General features: G+C 40.9%; 1 protein-coding gene and 1 pseudogene across 12 annotated transcripts in view, besides 2 other annotated features; both read right to left on the bottom strand.

The window, feature by feature from the left end:
* GAS2L3 (growth arrest specific 2 like 3) overlaps positions 1-12,978 on the bottom strand; it is a 54,605-nt gene extending 41,627 nt beyond the window's left edge. For 4 of the 12 annotated variants that reach the window (XM_005268804.4, NM_174942.3, NM_001363672.2 and 1 more), the window contains exon 1: positions 12,877-12,978. The gene's annotated coding sequence lies outside the window, so the exon portion shown is untranslated. Of the gene's footprint in view, positions 1-5,480; positions 8,076-11,038; positions 12,316-12,876 lie in introns of all 12 variants that reach the window. The other 8 variants (XM_047428732.1, XM_047428737.1, XM_047428734.1 and 5 more) reach the window with 7 other exon arrangements.
* On the bottom strand, positions 3,990-8,003 carry PIGAP1 (phosphatidylinositol glycan anchor biosynthesis class A pseudogene 1; annotated as a pseudogene).
* Positions 12,684-12,973: an enhancer, noted in NCBI's record as "active region_6860". NCBI's record gives its function as "activates an Ori minimal core promoter by ATAC-STARR-seq in GM12878 lymphoblastoid cells {active_cell/tissue: GM12878}" and the evidence as "EXISTENCE:reporter gene assay evidence [ECO:0000049][PMID:35858748]".
* Positions 13,004-13,133: a silencer, noted in NCBI's record as "silent region_4767". NCBI's record gives its function as "represses an Ori minimal core promoter by ATAC-STARR-seq in GM12878 lymphoblastoid cells {active_cell/tissue: GM12878}" and the evidence as "EXISTENCE:reporter gene assay evidence [ECO:0000049][PMID:35858748]".

Genomic DNA, 21,406 nt, shown 5'->3' with positions numbered 1-21,406 from the left:
GTGACCTTAAGAGTATTAGTTTGTGCTCTTTCAGTCTTTTTGATATACACGTTTGGGGCAATGAACTTTCCTCTTAGCACCGCCTTTGCTGTATCCTAGAGGTTTTGATAGGTTGTGTCACTACTGTAGTTCAGTTCAAATGACATTTAAATTTCCATCTTGATTTCGTTTTTGACCCAATGCTCATTCAGGAGCAGGCTATTGAGTTTCCATGTGTTTGCACAGTTTTGAAGGTTCCTTTTGGAGTTGATTTCTAGTATTACTCCTCTGTGGTCTGAGAGAGTGCTTGATATAATTTCAATTTTCCTAAATTTACTGAGGCTCGTTTTATGCCCTATTACATGGTCTATCTTGGAGAAAGTTCCATGCGCTGTTGAACAGAATGTGTATTCTGTCTGCTGTTGTTGGATGAAATGTTCTGTATATATCTGTTAAGTCCATTTGTCCCAAGGTATAGTTTAAATCCATTGTTTCTTGGTTGATTTTCTGTCTTGATGACCTGTCTAGTGTTGTCAGTGGTTTATTGAAGTCCCTCACCAGATATTATCCTAAATGCAATGGAAGCCCCTAATGAATTTTAACTAAGAGAGTAGCGACATGATCTAATTCACAGTTTTAAAGGAAATCCGAGGAAGAGAGAGAAAGGGTGGAGTGAAACAGTGATGCGTTTAACAGAGAAAAGGGGGAAAAGTGGATGAATATGTAGGAAAAAGAACTAGGGAAACACTGAGAGAAGGAGAAACAAGTAGGGGTAGAAAAGGTGAGAGCCAAAGAAACACTGTATAAGAAATGAGATGGGAGAGTAGTGTGGAAGAGGGAAGAGTCCACTGCAGTAGTTCAGTGACAAACAATGGTGACTGAGCTAGAATCTAACAGTCTCCACTGGAAAGGAGATGGATCTGACATATATTTGGAGTTAAGAACAAACGGATTTGGCAACTGTCAGAGATGATGGGGTAAAGGAGAGGAATGTAAGAGCAGAGTGTCAAGAACTACTGTTTCAGGCTTAGGGAATTTGAGCAGAGACAGAGGCAGCATTTACTGAGATGAGGGTGATGAACAACCTGAAGCTGGATACACAGCATACATGGGTCAAGAGTGCTGTGTTGGCTGGGTGTGGTGGCTCACGCCTGTAATCTCAGCACTTTGGGAGGCCAAGGTGGGTGGATCATGAGGTCAGGAGTTCAAGACCAGCCTGGCCAACATGGTGAAACCCCGTCTCTACTAAAAATACAAAAATTAGCCAGGTGTGGTGGTGGGCACCTGTAATCCCAGCTACTTGGGAGGCTGAGGCAGGAGAATTGCTTGAACCCAGGAGGCACAGGTTGCAGTGAGCCAAGATTGCTACACTGCACTCCAACCTGGGTGACAGAGCAAGACTCAAGACTCCATCTTGGGGGAAGAAAAAAAAAGAGTGCTGTGTTTTGGTTTGTTTCAGGAAGCCTTTAAAAACATTCAAGTAGGACCAGGCACAGTGGCTCACACCTGTAATCCCAGCACTTTGGGAGGCCAAGGCAGGCAGATCATGAGGTCAGAAGATCGAGACCATCCTGGCTAACACGGTGAAACCCCATCTCTACTAAAAATACCAAAAAAAAAAAAAAAAATAGCCAGGTGTGGTGGCGGGTGCCTGTAGTCCCAGCTACTTGGGAGGCTCAGGCAGGATAATGGCGTGAACCCAGGAGGCAGAGCTTGCAGGGAGTCAAGATTGCGCCACAGCACTCCAGCCTAGGCAACAGAGCAAGACTCCGTCTCAAAAAAAAAAAAAAAAAAAAAAACCATTCAAGTAGGGCCCAAGCACAGTGGCTTAGGCCTGTAATCCCAGCACTTTGGGAGGCCAAGGTGGGTGGTTCACGAGGTCTTGAAATCAAGACCATCCTGGCCAACATGATGAAACCCTGTCTCTACTGAAAATACAAAATTTAGCTGGGCATGGCAGCAGCACCCATAGTCCCAGCTACTCGGGAGGCTGAGGCAGAAGAATTGCTTGAACCTGGGATGCGGAGGTTGCAGTGAACCTAGATTGTACCACTGCACTCCAGCCTGAGTGACAGAACGAGACTCTGTCTCAAAAAAAAAAAAGACATTCAAGTAGGAATGTCGGGTAGGCAGTTGGAAATATGAATCTAGAACTAAGAAAAAAATTCAGGAGGAGATAAAAATTGTCAGCAAATACTTGGGAGTTAAAGCCATTGGAAAGAATGACATCATCTGAGGGAAATGGAAAAGGAAGTGACAAGGGTCTAAGAACAAGACCTGTGAAAATCCAACATTTACACTTCGAAGGAGTCAGCAAAGGAGACAGAGAAGAAACAGTTGGAGAGTTGCTTCATGATCTTAACTAATCTAGGCTTGTAACTTTTTTGATTCACCTCTTTCTAGTAGCCCTTCCTGATTGGCCTGAATTAATTCTGATTATATCTTTAGCCCTTGAATTCACATTTCTCCCTATTACTTGCCTGTATGGTGCCTTTTACTATTTTGAGCTATTCCTATACACTGCTTAGCCAAGCATAAGTTTTCCTGGGTTGCTATTGGAAATAGAGTTGATAGAAGTATTCAAGCCTGGAGTTTAGGAAACAGTTTTTGTAGGAGAAATGTGAAAACCCCTAGGAAAAACTGATTGTCTCCCTTCTCCACAATGTTTCTGCTATCGATGAAATGTGACAGTAAAGTTTAGAAGCAGCCACATAGTGAACAGCATCTGCCGGGGGACCTTTTTTGATATCATTTATTATTTCTTATTATTATTTACGTGACCTGAATTGATACATAATTTTGCCTCTCACCCAACATATTCCAGGTAAAATATGTACAGTGATTACGGTCAAGGTGCTAGCATGTCAAGTGAGCTGCCTGATATACCAGAGGAATTACTAGGAAAAAAAATGACGGCTGGGTGCGGTGGCAAATGCCTGTAATCCCAGCACTTTGAGAGGCCAAGGCAGATGTATTATGAGATCAGATCAAGACCATCCTGGCTAACATGGTGAAGCCCCGTCTCTACTAAAAATACAAAAAAAATTAGTCGGCATGGTGGCACACACCTGTAGTTCCAGCTACTAGGGAGGCTGAGACAGGAGAATCGCTTGAACCCGGGAGGTGGAGGTTGCAGTGAGCTGAGAGAAAAAAAAGAAAGAAAGGAAGGAAGGAAGGAAGAAAGAAAGAAATGACTAAGGTTTCTGTGTAGGCAGAGGTTCCAAGTTAACAGGACAACAGCTCTGCCAAGGGGCAAGGATTCTGATAAATGAGCTACTCAGGAATTCATACAACTGCCCCAGTGGGCACAAACATTTTTACATCTTAAGTAAACTCCATGTGTAGTAGACAGAATGATGGCTCTCAAAGTTGTCTACATCCTAATCCTCAGAACCTGTGAATATGTGACCTTACAAAGCAAATGGGACCTTTCAGATTAATTAAGGCTCTTGAGGTGGGAGATTTTCCTAGTGGACCCAATGTAGTCCCAGGAGTTCCTGTAAGAGGGATGCAGAGCTGCTCTGCCTATGGAGTGCCATTCTTTATTCCTTTACTTTCTTAATAAATTTTCTTTTGCTTTACTCTATGGACTTGTCCCGAATTCTTTCTTGCATGAGATCCAAGAACCCTCTCTTGGGGGTAAAGAAAAACAAGAGGGATGCAGAAAGGTCAGAGTCACCGAAGGTGATGTGAGGACAGCTGCAAAGAGACAGGAGGAGAAGTCATGATGGAAGAGCATCAAAGAGAGATCTGAGGTGCTACACTGCAGGCTGTGAAGACGGAGGAGGGAGCCAAGGAATATGCAGGTGTCAGCGGAAACTGGGAAAGGAAAAGAACTCTCCCTTGGAGGCTCCAAACACAGCACAACCCTGTCAGCACCTTTTAGCACTGAAAGACCCTGAGTTCTGATTTCTAAACCATAAGATAATGAATATGTGTCGTCTTAAACCAATAAATTTGTGGTAATTTGTTACAGCCGTAACTAGAAGCTAATACACTCTGGGTTTTTTTGTCATTCTGGTCTTTATTTTTGAACATGTAGCATGTTTTAACAAATCAGTTTGTCATGGGCAACCTTTTGAAACATCAAAAGAAATATATTTTTCATAAATTCCTCATCACTGTAAATTAACTTTCAAATCAATGTAAGTAGCAGGGTAGAACAATGTGTTTCCAAATACTGACCAGTGCAACACTGACAGTTACAATTAAGGTATCTGTCAGGCCTCTGAGCCCAAGCTAAGCCATCACATATCCCCTGTGACCTGCACGTATACATCCAGATGGCCTGAAGCAACTGAAGAACCACAAAAGAAGTGAAAATAGGCAGTTCCTGCCTTAACTGATGACATTCCACCATTGTGATTTGCTCCTGCCCCACCCTAATTGATCAACTGACCTTGTCACATTCCTTCTCCTGGACAATGAGTCTCAGAAGTTCCCCACCAAGCACCTTGTAACTCCGGCCCCTGCCCCGCAAGGGAAAAACCACCTTCGACGTAATTTTCCACTACCTACCCAAATCCTATAAAACTGCCCACCCTTATCTCCCTTTGCTGACTCCTTTTTCAGACTCAGTCCACCTGCACCCAGGTGATTGAAAAGCTTTCTTGCTCACACAAAGCCTGTTTGGTGGTCTCTTAACATGGGCACGTGTGACAGTATCTAGGAAAGTTGAAAATTAAGATTTATGTAAAACAAATTTACTTCCACTTGTTCAAAAAAATAAAAATATTTTAATTTGCAAGTTATATATTTTACATGCAAAGGCAACTAACTTTAAATCTCATTTCCATCTCAAATAAATGACAATTTAAGAATTAAATGACAATTTTTAAAAATTAAGCAAAAAATAAGGAAAAAACGGTGGTATGCCTTTAAAACTTGTTAAGTAAAATAATGTTATAGTTTCTCACTTTACCGTGAATATTGGCAGTGGTTATTTCATGTTTATATGTGAGTTCCTACACATAAAAATCTCAACAAGAATGAATGGTTTAGATCAGTCCATTTTTCTCCAACAAAAGAACTCCCTAACTTCTAGATATTAAAAACTGGACTCTTGCTTTTGCATTTTAGTGCAAACAAAACCCAAATATATTTCTTTTTATATCAGTACAACCAGTTAACAGACATGTTACTTTTTAGAAAGTAGTAAGTTTTGTGAATTTTGTCATTTTTTAAAATCTCATAATCACAATACTGACGGAATCTATCTAGTGCACCCACAAGTGCCTCCTTATTTTGATTTCACAGTCCTTTTCTCACAAAAACCTTAAAAGTTCAAAGAATAATACACACCATGTGGATAATTTGGGGTTAAAAAACCCATGGCTCTGGGCAACAACAATTACAGTTAATAACATCCACCCACAAAGACTGTGTTCTTAAAACTTTCAGACTTGGTTTGCTATAAATAAAACATTCTGAAATAAAGCCTTTTGCACACTGACAATACTTATCAGACATCAGCAAGGCCACAGCAAAGGAGAGTGACTTACATTAAAAGGACAGGGTAGCAGCTGGTTTTGGGATGGCACACCTCGTACATTCTGCTCAGAAAACACGAAGGCTTTTACAGAAAACTTAATTATGGAGGGTTTCTCTGCACTATCAACAGTGATATCAGTCCCTAGTATTTAAAAAGCAAAAAATATCTTCATCAACACAATGGAAGATGAAGGCTCTACCTAGGAGAATGCATAGAACAGGATCAAAGAAGTACTAGTAGTGTGTCGGTGATTTTTTTCCTGGCATTAACTGGCATGAGCATTTTTGGCATGTAGGCTATATATCTTATATCAACCATGACTATGATGAAATAAGCCATTTGAATGATAAAGAGTTAATGCATTTCTGGTCCTTAACGGCAGGAAGCATCTAGTTCAACATTCCACATATAGCAGGTGCTCAAAATGTGCTGGTAACTGATGGACTATCTTACTCAAGGAACCTGTTAATTTTATGTTAACACCTACTGAGTGAACCTAATAAATGTTTAAAGGCATGACTTAGATTTCTAATAAATGTATATAAACATGACTTAAAATAGTTCATATAGTTGTTGTACTTCCCTGAAGAAAACTTGTAAACATCTAGTGAGTGTCTAACTAATGGCATAACATTAAAAACTGGCCAAAAAAATGCCCAGAAAATGTTTGGCCCTTCAGCACCCAAAGCTCTCAAAATATAATGTTAAAACATCTCTGCTACAGGGATTTCAGTAGTCTGAAAAATTTAATACCTGAATGGTTTAAATGTTCTCTTCTAAATTTTAAATAAGTGCAAGGTTTCTACACTCAGGAATTGCCTAAGTTTTTATCTTTCCTCAAAAGAAAACATTGAATGATATAGAAGTAGCATAACTTACTAAATTAACTTATAAAAAACTAATAAAAAACACAAGCCCCCAAAAAGCAGGTTATTTTCCATAGTCTTAATACAACTATTACAAATGTTTAAAATCTTACAATGTAGGCTCTCTTCTACCTGGTTTTAGATATCTTAATATTCTCACCCCCTCTTTTACTGTGAGAACATTTATGAGTCCAGGCACCCCTTGGCCCAGTGGCATCTATTCCAGTATCAATGATAAGAATCTGGAGTCATCCATCTCAAGAAAATGAGGAAGAGGAAGTTGAAAACAGCCAACAAAGCAAAGATGTAGCCTGTTACTGGTCCACTGTGAGAAATAAGTCTGTCCAGTTGTTTGTCCATTGGCAACACAGATTCCACTGATACTTGGTCATACGCTTTTTCAGTTCTCTCCACAACATTCCTTCAGGTGTGGAAAGTCTTTACTATGTTACGGATATTTTCTGGAGCCAGCAATGCCCCTGACTTCAGTTGGAAAATAGCTTTTTCCAATCCCTCACACAAAGATTTTACTGAAGTTTCTCATAAAATAGTAAGATTTTCCGGAAGCACCTCAGGAATTCCACCAACCCTGGTACTTACAACCTGTAAACCACAGCTGGCTGCTTCCATGATCGCCATGCAGAATGCTTCAGTAAGGGAGGTATTAAGAAAAATATGTCCTTGAACTAAGACATTTCTAACATTCTTGTGTTCTAAAGCTCCCAAAAGATGCACCCTGTCATGCAACTGGTATCTTTCCGGAACTTCTTGCAAAATGATTCTCTTTGGTCCCTCTCCTCCAATTATGAAATTTAAATCTTAATATTTCTGACAAGAGTTTGGGTATAATACCACTAACCAAATTTGTTCCCTTTCTGTAAACAAGTCTGCTGACAACAATAGTTATACTATCATGCCTTCTAAATGGGTCTGGAGTGAAGTCAATAGGATCTACAGCGTTAGGAATGACAGACACTATTTCAGTAATCAGTGCCGCTCGTAGTACGGTATTTTCCTTACTAGTATAAGAAACGCAAATGATACGGCTTGTGTCACAAAGAGACACAGTTAGAAGTTTGTTTGTAAGCACTGAATGGACCTTAGCAAATCCAGAAAGGGGATGGTCTGTTAAGACTGTTTGAAGCCCCATTGTCTTGGCATGGAAGAGAACATCATGGGCCATGGCAGAAAATGAACTATGTGAATGGATTATTGTGACTCTCTCCTGAACAAATATGTACTTGAGCAATGGCAGACTGTGAAAGAGGGTCATGGCCATAGACTGGTTATACATGACTTTCAGAGGCAAGTAATAGACTTTGAGGTCATTAGTGAGGTAACGGATGCCTTTTCGATTTCCATAAGCATGGATGACAATTATAACCTTATCCCCTCTTCCAATCAGGCACTGAGGGAGCTGGTAAATGTGGCTTTCCACACCTCCCATATTTGGGTAGAAAAAGTCAGATGCCATACATATATTATGGGTATGGGTTCTACGTGTGTAAAGACTTCCAGGGCTAACCTGAGACAGTGTAGCTGAGGGAGGCTGGCCATGCCCACCTTCTCCTTTATACGCCATGCTGAGATGGTTTAGGCATCAGTTCTTAGAGCAACCCAGTTAAGAGATGTGTCCTCTATTACCAGCGAGTTCCATGGCCACCTGTGTCTGGACCTCCCACGGCTGCCGCCAATACACATCTTACGTGAAGAAAGGAAGATTTGCCAAGACACTTGACCTAGAGAAAGTAATATGTATCCAAAATATGATATACAATTAGAAGATGCAGCTAACCTAATCTGTTGAAATAATGAAGAAAAGAGCACCAGCTATATAAAGCATGCAAAAGAAGAAAAAAACTGATAGGTTAAACCTACCGCAAGTACTATGTATTTACTATCATCCTCCTCCTCATCAAATGGTCCTGCCTTTGTACATCTATCATTCATCCATCCATTCACTCATTTATATGTTTACAGAGGCTGCCTGTGTTTACCATCTCAGGGAACACCATTAAAATTCACTAAGTTACCAGGACATTCTTAATTCCCTCCTCTCTCACACCTCCACCTGCCCCATCTTTCCTCAGCCAGAACAGTGACTATATCTTGTTGCTTCTACCTCTAAATTTTCTCAATACCTACAGCCACTCCTCTAGTTCAAGCCACCATCATCCTTCTCCAGGTTTACTGAAACAGTCACCTTTTCTCCAGCCTTGCAACCCTGTTCTTCATGAACCACAGCCAGAATGATTTTTTCACAACTCTGATCCAAGGACATTTTACTACTGCCCTGCTTATAACCCTTAATGGTTGCCCAGTGTTTTCAGGATAAAGCCCAAACTCCTTAACCAAGCTAACAAAGATTTGTAGGATCCTCACCAGCCCTGTCTCTTGACTCTTACACTTCAGCCTTAGTGAACTTGTTAAAGATCCTTCTAAGCGCCATGCTTTCACCTCTAGGTCTTCGCACTTGCTGATCCACCTATGCTCTTCTTACACCTCTTTTCCAGACTCACTCTTACCTGTCTAGATTCTATTCCTCCAAAGTCTTCCCTGAATCATCTCCCCAATTTAGGGATATAGCAATATTATATGCTTCTATTTTGCTGCACTCTATACTTTTAAAAATAAGATCCTTAAGGTGGTTAACAGTCTTCATTTCTTCTATGTCACTATGAAATCAGAGTTAAAATTAGTACTAGAATTACTCCTAAATGCAACAGATGCTTCTATTACAGATAAAGATTTTTAAGAGAAAAATAAAATGTTTACAGTTTAATAAAACATTACATGTTATTTGAAAAATATAGAGACTTTGTTGAGAATCTTTTTTTATTTGAAATTTTCCTTTTGAAATGTTTGGCAGAGACCCAACCTGAATAACTTAATTTTATATTAGACATAATTTTTAGTTTGTCAAAAATTTTGTGGCATACAATTTTTTTAACGAACTTAAGATCAGTTTGCCTTTACACATGATAGATTAAAAGAATGTATGGGGACATATATAAACACTAACATAAAAAATATAAGAACAATATCTAACTATCCATTAACAGGGAACTGCTCAAATAACTAATGGGACATTCATACAGTAGACTCATTTAACCACTTCAAAGAATAACACAGAGCTATATGCACTGATATGAAAATATGTCTATTTTGTTAAGTGAACAAAAGCAACCTGTAGAACAGTATATGTAATGTTACTGGGATCACAGTGCTTTTCTAAATTCTCTGTGTGTGTAACAAAGAAGACATGCTGAACATCAAACTTTTTTTCAACAGCTAACTATCTATATAAAGTGAGCCCTTCACCATAGCTAATATTATACTTTCTTAGAGAAACGTTTATGTTGTATGACAGTAGGCGGAAGTCTCTATGAGTCACCACTTCAGCAATATCCAGCACATGACTGATGGTCATAATACTATAAACTCTAGGATGCTTACAGAGGCAAAGATGACATCACATTTAGTAGGCTGCTACATTTTATTACATTCTAGTTCTTTGGAAATTTGTAACACCCTTATGAAATACATGGTGGCTTTCTGTTAACCAAAACACCCTACCTACTCTGTAACAATGTAATCAAATGAAAACACTTTCTGAGTTTTTAGGAGAAACATTAAAGAAATACAGTTATAATTATGGTCTGTATCTCATAAACATTACTTCTGAAGCATTTCTCTGTGACAACTAAACTCTAATTAAAAATCAAGAAACTCAATGTGAGACAAATTGGCCAACAGACTCAAGTTTCCTATTTTCTCAGATTCTATGTCCATTGCATGACTCATTAGATCTGTAAAGGTATATCTAATATCATTCTATGTCCATTGCATGACTCATTAGATATGTACTGGTATATCTAATATCAAAGTATGAAAACCAATAATAAGAAGTAAAATACACACGTTACTGTAAGAAAGTAAAACATAAGAATACATATTAAGTTTAATCTCTTACTTTCCTCATCATCAACAGCAAGCTCTTTAGTAATCTATCCAAATAACTGAACCTTTCCTATTATCTCCAAACTTAAATTGATAGGAAAAAAAAAGGAAGAGTAGCTTAGTAAAAACATAGTGAATAAATGAAAATTAAATGAGAAAATATAAATGAGGAGATACTACTTTTGAAACAGCCAATTCTCCAAACATCATTTCTATTTATCAAAATATAAATTAGGAACATCATTTCTGAAGTGGCCATTCTCCAAACATCAAAACTCCAAAATATCACTGTTTTTTTTACTAATAGCATGCATTTTGTTGACACTATTCTTTTATCACAAATTTTGATTTACCATCACAAGTTATTTCTCATTATTTTAAAATTCATAATGTATTCAAAATAAACCCATACCCACAGCAGAAATTAATCTGGGTCACACTGACAATCCAGTGCAGGAAAGTTACTTAATGTTAGGAATATAAAGGTGTGTAACACAGAAAAAAGCCTGCACTGAATTCCAGGTGAACCCTAGTAAGTGATTTCCCTTCTTTGAGCTTCAGTTTTGTCCCCTATAAAATAGAGATAACGGCCAGGCGCGGTGACTCATGCCTGTAATCCCAGAGCTTTGGGAGGCCGAGTCGGGCGGAACACGACGTCAAGAGATCGAGACCATCCTGGCCAACATGGTGAAACCCCGTGTCTACCAAAATACAAAAATCAGCTGGGCGTAGTGGCACACACCTGGAGTCCAACTACTCGGGAGGCTGAGGCAGGAGAATCGCTTGAACCCGGGAGGCAGAGGTTGCAGTGAGCCGAGATCGCGCCACTGCACTCCAGCATGGGCGACAGAGCGAGACTCTGTCTCAAAAAAAAAAAAAAAAAAAAAAATAGAGATAACATGAACTACATTTTAGGATTACTAAGAGGTTTAACAATAATATAAGTAAAGAACACAATACCTGATATATAATGATGTGTTTGATAAATAGTAATCCACGTGTTTATGATGTGTCAGATACTGTTTTAAATGCTTTACATGTATAATTTAGTCAATAAACAATAATTATCCCTATCTCTGGTACTGCCTTCACCTTCTACCTCTCCCCATCCTTTGGGGAGAGCTCAAAACTTTTTGTCTAAGTTAAACAGCAGAGAAATAATAATAGCTATGTATCAGGCACTGTGCTAAATTAGTTACGTGGAATTTCATTTAATCTTTACAACAATCCTCTCAATAAAGTAGGAACTATTATTAACCTTCTTTCACAGACTAGGAAATTTAGGCTTAGAAGGATTAAATAATGTGTCTAAAGTCAGATATCCAATGAAGTCTGATTTCAGAGCCCCCCTGCTTAGCAACTCTGTCACGCTAAAAAAAAAAAAATTACTACTTCTAATTCAATGTCAGATAGCAAACACCTACTGTTCAATGACAGTTGGTTTCTAATGAGATTTTGAAACAGATGAGTCAGACAACAGGTATCGGCATCTACACCAGATCACTAGAGTTTCCACTTCTGTCATTTGAAACAGTTCCAATTTGTTCCCAAAGGGAATCTGAGGTGGTGAGAATTTCAATTTCTAATCATTTAAGTGCCAAGACAGGTGATCAGATAGCAATTCACAAAGCGGTTCTGTTGTTCTTGTTGTTTTTGTTTGTTTGTTTTTTGCTCTTCACACAAGCGAAGCAAAACCCAGGCTCTGACCTAAAATCATCTCTTTGCAACCACTGGGGATCAGCTATTCCACCATGCCATGCCACAAAGCACTCAAATTTACAACATTCAATCCCTCGGTGTGAAAAGATTAGGAAAGGAACCACGGGTGACTGCATAGAGGAGCACGCCCTCCAAAACTTTCCTCTGACTTCCAAGGCACTCTACAAGCCTTCCCTTTCTTTTGCCAGCCTCTCCCCGGGCAGTCCTCCAAACTGAGGGTTGTGGGCGGAAGGCATCGCGCAGGGTCTCCAGCTCTATTCCCCAGTTCCGCACATGTGGGCGTTCTAGACCCTGCATGGACTGGGAGAAAAAACAGGGAAGAGCCTATAAACCTTGCTAGAGGGCAAGAATAACTGTCTGTCTCTTTCTCTTTGCAGGGCCAGAGACTTCATCAATTCTTTCCGAGGATGATGAACAGAAAAAAACAGACCCTCTAAGTGCCAGGCGCTTAGGGATGAGGGTGCCCCTGAAGATCCCACAGTACCTTCGGGCTCTGATACCGCTCTGGATTTAAAGCAGGGCGAGTAGCGGCTGGATCCCTCCTCCCCAGCTGAGCTCGCCCACACCAGCAGCCCCAACCGCCCCGCACACCTGTCGCCCCTCTCTCCGCACTTGGGTGGACAGGTGAAGGCAGGCGCAACGTCACCTTGACGGCCCCAGGAGCCAATCAGAGCACGCGACTGCCGCAGCCAGGCAAACGCAGAGCGTACTGGCTCCCGCAGCCGGGAGACCCAACAAACCTCAGCTTCGGGGCCTCAGAGAGCGGGGGGCTCCTGGAGCCCTCAGGCTGAGGCGCGGAGGCCCCGAGACAGCGCGTAAAAGTTCGCCAGGAAAAGAGAAGACAAACAGGGAAGTACTCACCAGGCGCAGGAGGGTCACTTCTCCCAGCGGGGCGACAACTCGGCTCAATCTGTGCGGGGCCAACACGCCCCTGACCAACCGCCGCCGCTGCCGCCGCCGCCTGGGCCTCAGGGTCAGTAGCCGCTGGCCGCCGCCTGTTTCGAAGGGACCAATCATAAGGCGGGGGCGTGGTCTGAGGCCCCGCCCCCGGGCTGCCGGGAAGCACGCGACCCGTGGGCGCTCGCCTGTCAGCGCGTCCAGCGCTGCGCCTCCGGGCGTCTCGGAGCTTCGGTGGCCAAGTCCCTCTGTTCACTGAAAGGCGAAGTGGTTCAGTCAGAGCAGGTCCTCCGATCTGGCCTTTCAGCGACAGCCAGTTCGAAAGCCACAGCCCGTCCTGTTGTTCCCACAGGCCTGAGAGGTGAATGAACCTCGCCTGTAATAATTGCTTCTGAGCGTCCTGGAATGTTGCGGTGCAGCTGAAGGCGCTTCCCTGAGTTTTATCCTGGTCTGTTAAGAGCCGCTCCCAACCCCACATCCACTCGGGAGCTGGCTGACCTGAGGGCGCCACGGTTTCCAGAGACGCAGCCTGGAACCCAGCAGGAATGGGGGTCCTCAGCAGAAATCTTTCAGAGAGAGGCCCCTCTTCTCAGGTGCGGAGGGATGAGGAGGAATCCTGTAGTCCCAAGTCACAAAAGGAGGATGTTGACTCTTCAGCAAACACCGGAGCCTGAAAACAAAACAAAACAAAACAAAAAAACAATGAACTTCAACGTAAGGGATGCTTACTAGCTCCCAGGGTTGAAATAAAGCCGAGACTAGACATCAGTGTAACAATCCCAAGTCGGTTATATCTGTAAATGTGGCTTGTTTCATAGCAAAAAATAAAATAAATAAATAAATAATTTTTTAAAAAAATCACTGGCTTTGTCCCCGAGGCCTGTGTTGCAGCCCAGGCCCTTCTTTTTTTTTTTTTTTTTTTTTTTTTTTTTTTTTTGAGACAGGGTCTTGCCCTGTCACCCAGGCTGGAGTGCGGTGGCACGATCTCGGCTCACTGCAGCCTTGATCTCACGGACTCAAGAGATCCTCCCACCTCAGCCTCCAGAGTAGCCAGGATTACAGGCCTGTGCCACCACACCGGGCTAATTTTTGTGTTTTTTGTAGAAATGGGTTTTTGCCATGTTGCCCAGGCTGGTCTTGAACTCCTGGGCTCCAGTGATCCTCCCACCTCGGCCTCCCAAAGTGCTGGGATTACAGGCGTTAGCCACCTCACCCGGCCCTATTCAGTCTTTTAGCCTTCCTCAAATCATGTCTCCTCTCTGGGCCTCAGGTCTCCATCTGTGAATGGTGGGCACTGAACTGGAATGACATCTCTCTCTAGCATTTATTCCTTCCTTTACTCAACAAAAACAATGAGATGTACTGTTGCTTGCTAAAGAAACTGAAATGAAAACAGCCTTAGGCTTCAAAGTGCTCAGCAGCATGGTAAAGGCCAAATGGAAGTCTGTGGAGGTCCATGAAAGAAGGAACCCCTAAGAGTCTTGAAGGGTGATGGCAGAGGTTTGAAAGGAGCTGAATTTTTAAAGATGAATTAAGACTCTGCCAGGAGGGAGGGATAACTGGGAATAAGAATTAATTTCCAGGCAGAGAGAGCAACAAAGACAAGGTTCCAGAGATGTGAGAGTACATGAAATGTTCTGAGAATACTCATTTTGAATGACTGAAGTCTGCAGATTGGGAGGCAGATCAGATGGGAGAAGTAGACACAAATGAAAGGCCTGGTAGATGCTGAGGAATTTAGTTTCTTTCCCACAGGCAATTGGGATGATTATAAGGAAGGACTGGTAGGAACAGATTTGTGTTTTAGGGGAAAAACAATATTTTCACAGATGTTTGAAGATGGTAGTAAGACAGGTGGCAATCCCTTAAATTAAAAGATGACGGTTACCTAAATTATCTCAGAAGGGATGGTGAGGAAGAGGTATCTGGTGATACCTAAGAAGCTGACTCATCTGGACTTAGTTATTATGTGATTGATGATGGTACCAATCTAAAGAATACAAGGAAAACAGGCTGTGGGGGAAAATAATGCATTTTGGTTTGGAGTGTGTTCAGTTTGAAGTGTGAGAGGAGTGTGCAAGTGGAGATGTTCAGAAGATAAAGTTAGACCTGAAGCTGTTTAAATTGGTCTGTGTAGGAGATATAGATTTGAGAAGTAAATTCAACAAATATTATTTTACACATCTTCTGTGTCAGGCTCCATTCTAAGCACAAGGGATCCTACTGTCATGGAGCTTACATTCTGGGGTAGGTGGGTGAGTGAAGATGGTAACTAGGAGTTGATATTTAAGTGGTAAATGAACCTGAAACCAGATAGTGGTTGCCACTTTTGAAATTGACTCAGTAGTCCCAACCGTAGAAATTGACCCTTCTGGTCTTAAAACCTAAAACTTACATTTGTTTTATCCGAGTTGTTTCCTTAGGAAAGGATCCCTAGACCTCTCAAAAAGTATCAAAGAACTGAAACTCACCAGATCATCTCAGCCAATGAAAGCCTGGCCCTTCATTCATCCTGATTGCTTCCTTGCCCCTCTCTAGTTCCTTTCTTCTTACACATTGCTACATTTCTTCCCTGCTATATAACCCCCTAATTTTAGCGGTCAGGAAGATGGAGTTGAGACTGATCTCCCATCTTTTCAGCTGCAGCACCTGATTAAAACTTTCTTCCTTGGCAGTACTTGTCATATCAGTCTTTGGCTTTCTGTGCTGCAAGCAGCAGGACCTAGACCAAACCCCTGGTGTTTCAGTAACACTTTTAATATTAAAATCAATCCCACAACACTTTGCTGCTCACATCACCACAATAGATAGGTATTCACAGGACCTATTTTTCAAATCTATGTGTCATAGTGTTTCTGTTTAAAACTAAAGGGCAGTTTGTATACCACCCCATTTAGCCAAATTTTGAGTTGAATTAAAGTATTACATTGGATTTCTTGAACCCTAACATCAAAATATGTGCACTGCTCTACAGAAACTTAAGAAAAAAATGTGTTATACAGATCTTGTTTAATGAGTCCTTAGCTGTCAACTTTTTATTTTTATTATGTGCATACTATGTATCTAAACATTTGAATACCATTTATTAAAACTTGAAACTATCCTATATGAGATATGTACACAAAAATTCTCTGCCTCATACACACACACATAAACACACACTACTTAATATTTCTAAACCTTTTACTAAAATCTTGTCAGCAGTGCATTTTTATGATAACTTGCTTTTTGTTCTATTTTGTCTTTGTAATTTCTATACCTTATAAAGATATAAGGACAGTGTAGTGGCAAGTGAATCCTGAGTCAGGAAATCTATGCAAAACACTTTTCTCTAAGGCCACATCCTTTGCTGGTTAAATGTGGGGATTAGGTGAGGAGTTTGCCTCTAAATTATTATTATAATTATTATTTTATTTATTTATTTATTTATTTATTTATTTTGAGATAGTCTCACTCTGTTGCCCAGGCTGGAGTGCAGTGGCGCGATCTTGGCTCACTGCAAGCTCCGCCTCCTGGGTTCACGCCGTTTTCCTGCCTCAGCCTCCGGAGTAGCTGGGACTACAGGCGCCCCGCCATCATGCCAGGCTAATTTTTTTTTTTTAATAGAGGCGGGGTTTCACCGTGTTAGCCAGGCTGGTCTGGATTTCTTGATGTGGTGATCCGCCCGCCTTGGCTTCCCAAAGTGTTGGGATTACAGGCGTGAGCCACCGCGCCCAGCCTTGCCTCTAAATTATTTTAATTCTTGTTGCTTTTCTCCTCTGTATACTCTGTGTGTGTGTGTGTGTGTGTGTGTGTGTGTGTGTGTGTGTGTGTGTGTGTGTGTCTGTGTCTGTGTCTATCGCCTTACTTTTACGTTAATTCCCAGCTGGTACCCAACTATCTAAATACACTTACCATTTACCTATCTTGATTTTAAAACTATAATTAGCAATTGAGGGTTTCATCTAATGAGCTGCAATCTACTTTCAAGTGTAGGCTTTCTAATAGGTGGTTAGGTTAATAGCCATGTTTTAGAGGTTGTATCTTTACATGAAATTGGCATAATTGTAGAATGCAAAACAAGACTCACCAGTTTGACTTTCCAATTGTGGAGATGTGCTGCACTTTTAAAGAAAGCACCATGTTTGGAAATCTAAATTTTAAAAGGTATTACATTAGGAATAGTCATTCATCTGCCATAAAGGTATACAGAATACAGAAGGGTCTGTGATAATCAAATAACCATCGGGTATTGAACTATGATTTGGCCTTTTCACAGCCATGCAAAGAATGCTTCTATTGTTTAAAATACACTGTAATTTAAATACACTGAAGACTTTTTTAAATTTTGATTGGTTTATTAGTTGTTTTGTTCTGCATTTTGTTGTTTTAGAAATGTTTTTATTTCTGACTTATTGAATGTCAATCTATGGATTGTGCCTTGTGTAAAGTACTGGATGAAATATTTGGGCAATAGAGGTATTGATTCATTCACAATTAATTAAACTATCTGTTCAGCAGATAATCTGTTGAGAGCTAACTATTCTAAAAATAATACTAAGCTCTGTCTTAGAAGAATGATACTGATTCGTGTTAACAAATAATATGTATAAATAATTCAATGATATGAAATTTTATAACATGTTATGGTCAATACTAAAATGGTGTGTTAAATTTATATAGTGGATTGAATAGTGCCCACCCAAAATTCATGTTCGTCGAGAACCTCAGAATGTGACCTTATTTGGAAATAGAGTCTTTGCAGGTATAATTAAGGTAAGGATTGAAATGAGATCATATTGGAGTAGAGTGGACCCCAAATCCAACGGGAGTGTTTTTACAAGAGACAGAAAAGGGACAGAGAGAGAGAGAAAGTCCATGTAAAGACAGAGGCAAAGCTTAGGGCTTTGCTGCCACAAGTCAAGCAATGCTAGGAGCCATCAGAAGCCAGAAGATGCAAGGAAACATTCTCTCCTAGAGCCTTTGGGGGGAGTTTGGTCTGCTGACACCTTGATTTTGGACTTCTAGCCTCCAGAAACGTGAAATAATATAAATGTCTATTGTTTTCAGCTGCCAAATTTGTGGTACTTTGTTAGAGTACCCCTAAGAAACTAATACAATCTATATCTGGAGAGAGATGTAAAAATCTAACAGCCTAGCAAGAATGATTACATTGAGCTACACTCCCTACTCCCCCAGTTCATCTATAAGACGTCTTCACAGATATTAGCATTGTAGCCACGCCAGGCTCTTACAGAGCACAGGTTATTTCTAAATGGCTTACTGTTCAAGTATGATCAAGTTTCTATCACATTTAGTTATATTTGATAGCAAAAAAAAAAAAAATCCTCGAACTCACTTAAGAAAAAAAGGGCAGGTATTGGCTTATGTAATTAAAATCTCAGGATAGAACTCTCTAACTTTAGGCACAGCTTGATCTAAGATTTCAGATATTGTCACCAAAATCCAGTCTCTATTGGCTCTGATTTTCATGTTGACTTTATTCTCAGGTTCCTCCTGGTTATATGATGGTTTCCAGAAGTTCTAGTTCTTCATTCTCTTAGGTTTGAGTCTAACCAAAAAAAAGTGAGTCATTCTATATAGTTCTCAAGTCAGAAAACACAAACCACTATAGGTGCATCAAAAAGCAGGAACTTAACACAGACTTGGTTTTGCAAGAGAAGGTAAACAGGAGCAGGTAAGACAACTCAGAGATTAGCAACAGTAGGAAGCCACTGCAATTCTAGGGCTTAGGGTTCAAAAGAGGAGTTTAGAAACCAGGGCCATCAGCACTGGGGCAGGAGGGAGTTTCCCAGTGGGACTGGGAGCCATGTAGGAGATGCAATCTTTACCAGAGATACAATCTGAGGCAGAGAGAGTGAGGGAGAAATACCCTGGCTTTTCCCTTCTTCTCATCCTCCAGTCTCCCATCAATACTTTCCATTGATTGAAACTGGCCAAAGCCAGTTAACAGAGAAACCTATAAAATGCAGCCTGTCAGGGGTTAGCCCTCCCTCCCTAGATGAACAGAGAAGGGAAGGAAGGGAACAGATCTGAACACAAATAGGATATATTAGCTAGACTGTTGCTGTGATAATGCTGTATCACAAACAACTCCTAACTTTCAGTGGCTTACAGTAATAAACATTGATTTTTCTTGTTTGTCGATCTGCATGTTAGCTCATGGTGGACAGGAGGGATGCTGCTTCAAGCTTAAGTTGGGTTTAGGTGTACTCCTTCTGTCTCTCATTCTGAGACTTGCAACTATCCAGGGCATTCCCTTCTCATGGCAGATAGCAGAAGTGCAAGAGCAGCAGCAGAAACATGTGATGTCTCTTAAGGCCATAGCTTGGAACTGACACTCTCACTTCCACCCACGTGCTATTGCCAAAAGCAAGCCACAAGGACAAGCTCAACATCAGTGGGTGGGGAAGTCTGTTCTGCCTACTCCTGTGAGAGGCACTGCAAATTCACGAGTCAAATAACCTGGCCATATAATTCTACTACAGGGAGAGAGTGAAGAATTTGGAACAATTAATACACACACACACACAGAGGCATGTAACTGACACTGCCTTCCTCCTAAAAATTCTTCCAGCAGTATATCTTATTTTCTTTAAATAAGTCACCTGCCCAATTCTAAACCAATGACTGTGACCTAAGATATGTGATATTCTGATTAGCTATGCCTGAATCACACTTCCAACTCTGGAGCTGGGGGTGGAATCAACTCCACTTAAAACATATGGACTAAGAGATGGGAAGGGGGTGGTTCCCCTGAGGAAATCAGAGTACTCTTCCAGAAGTAAAGGCAGTGGATTCTGAGTGTCCAAAAAATAAGTCAGCTAACACCCAAATGTGATATGTGATAGTGTACTGAATTTATTATTTCACATAAGGGAAAAAATAATAAATTGTAATTTTGTAAAAATCTGGGGAAAAGTAAAATTCTGCTGCTATAGGATCAATGAGTGAAATCAGTTTCTCATTCTGAACAACAAAGAAAGAAAACAAAATTTCAAAACAGTTGCTCATATCCAGTATTTGGATTCACTAATAAAATGACTGTCCACAATGTTGTTATGAACTAGAAAACCACCACCATGAGAATTATGTTGAAGCTAGATGCTAGATCAGGTCAAGAGAGAGTACAGTGTAGGAGTCATATTTTCTTGGGATATGCTATGGTCTGAATATTTGTGTCCCCCCAGAATTCATATGTTGAAATCCTAACCCTTAAATTGATAGTATTAGGAGGTAGGGCCTTTGAGAGGTGATTAGGCCATGAAGGTGAAGCCTCGTGACTGGGATTAGTGCCCTTATAAAAGTGACCCAAGAGAGCTAGCAGGCACATCTAGAAGATGCCATCTAGGAACCAGGAAGTCCTCACCAGACGTTGAATCTGCCAGTGCCTTCATCTTGGACTTCCCAGAACTGTAAGGAATCAATTCCTGTTGTTTATAAGCTACCCAGTTTATGGTCTATTTTTACAGCAGCCGGAATGAACTAAGACAGGATGGGAGAGAGCAGGGTTTCTAAACCTCAGCACTGTTAACATTTTGGGCCAGATAATTGCTGAGGGAGGCTATTCTGTGCATTGTAGGAAGTTTAGCATCATCACTAGCTCCTACCCCCTAGAGGCCAGTAGCACCTCTATCTCCAAGTTATGAAAACCAAAAGTGTCTCCAGACATTGCCAAATGTCCCCCTGAGACACAAAATCACCCCTACTTGAGACCTGGGGTGGAAAGGAAAAGGAAGAAAACAAGCAAACCCATTTCTTTTCCCCTGTCTCTATACTTTCTTTCTCATTTGGTGTAAGAGAAGATAGACCTCTGGGGAATGCATTTTATTTGGAAGCCTAGAATATAGGTAGGGCAGGAGACAAAACCGGTAGGAGGTCTCAATAGCCAACTGCTCTCCCAAGGAGTTCTGGGTCTCTGCTGAAGTCAATGGGAAATCAAGTAGCACAGGGAACATGTAACCAGATTTGCATTTTAGAAAAAAAACTCACTCTACTAGTGTGGAAAATGACCCATAAAAGTGCATATCAGAGCAAGGGAAATACTTCTGTTTCATAGCACTTGTAATTTGTATTTTATTTTTACCCAGAGTTGCTCCTATTACCCCTATCACTCAGGAATTCCCAAAGCTTTTAGAAGCTGTGTCAGAAACCAGGAACAAAAACACAATATGTATTTCTTATAGTATCACAATTAGTTTTCCATGTGATGAGCATTATTGTTTGCTATTACAAGGTCTTAACCACTTGAATAAATGCAGATCTAGAGGATTAAGCTTCTTGCTCTGTCTCCAGTGCCCCACCAGTTCCAGGCTCATTTCTCACTGCTGTCTGCGCAGACGGCATGAGATCTGGAGACACCAAACTGAAATTTACTCCTTTCTTCAATGTCCTTTCCTCACCAACCCTCTCCCTGGTGGGCCTGCTACTTCCCACTTACTCTTCATTAATAAGCTAAATCCCCTTATGCAATAAATGCTGATCTCTGCATTTT

This window comes from Homo sapiens, chromosome 12 (assembly GCF_000001405.40).
Source record: "Homo sapiens chromosome 12, GRCh38.p14 Primary Assembly".
Taxonomy (NCBI): Eukaryota; Metazoa; Chordata; class Mammalia; order Primates; family Hominidae; genus Homo; species Homo sapiens.
The sequence above is the reverse complement of the archived record's forward strand: the minus strand, read 5'-3'. Positions and strand labels throughout refer to the sequence as shown.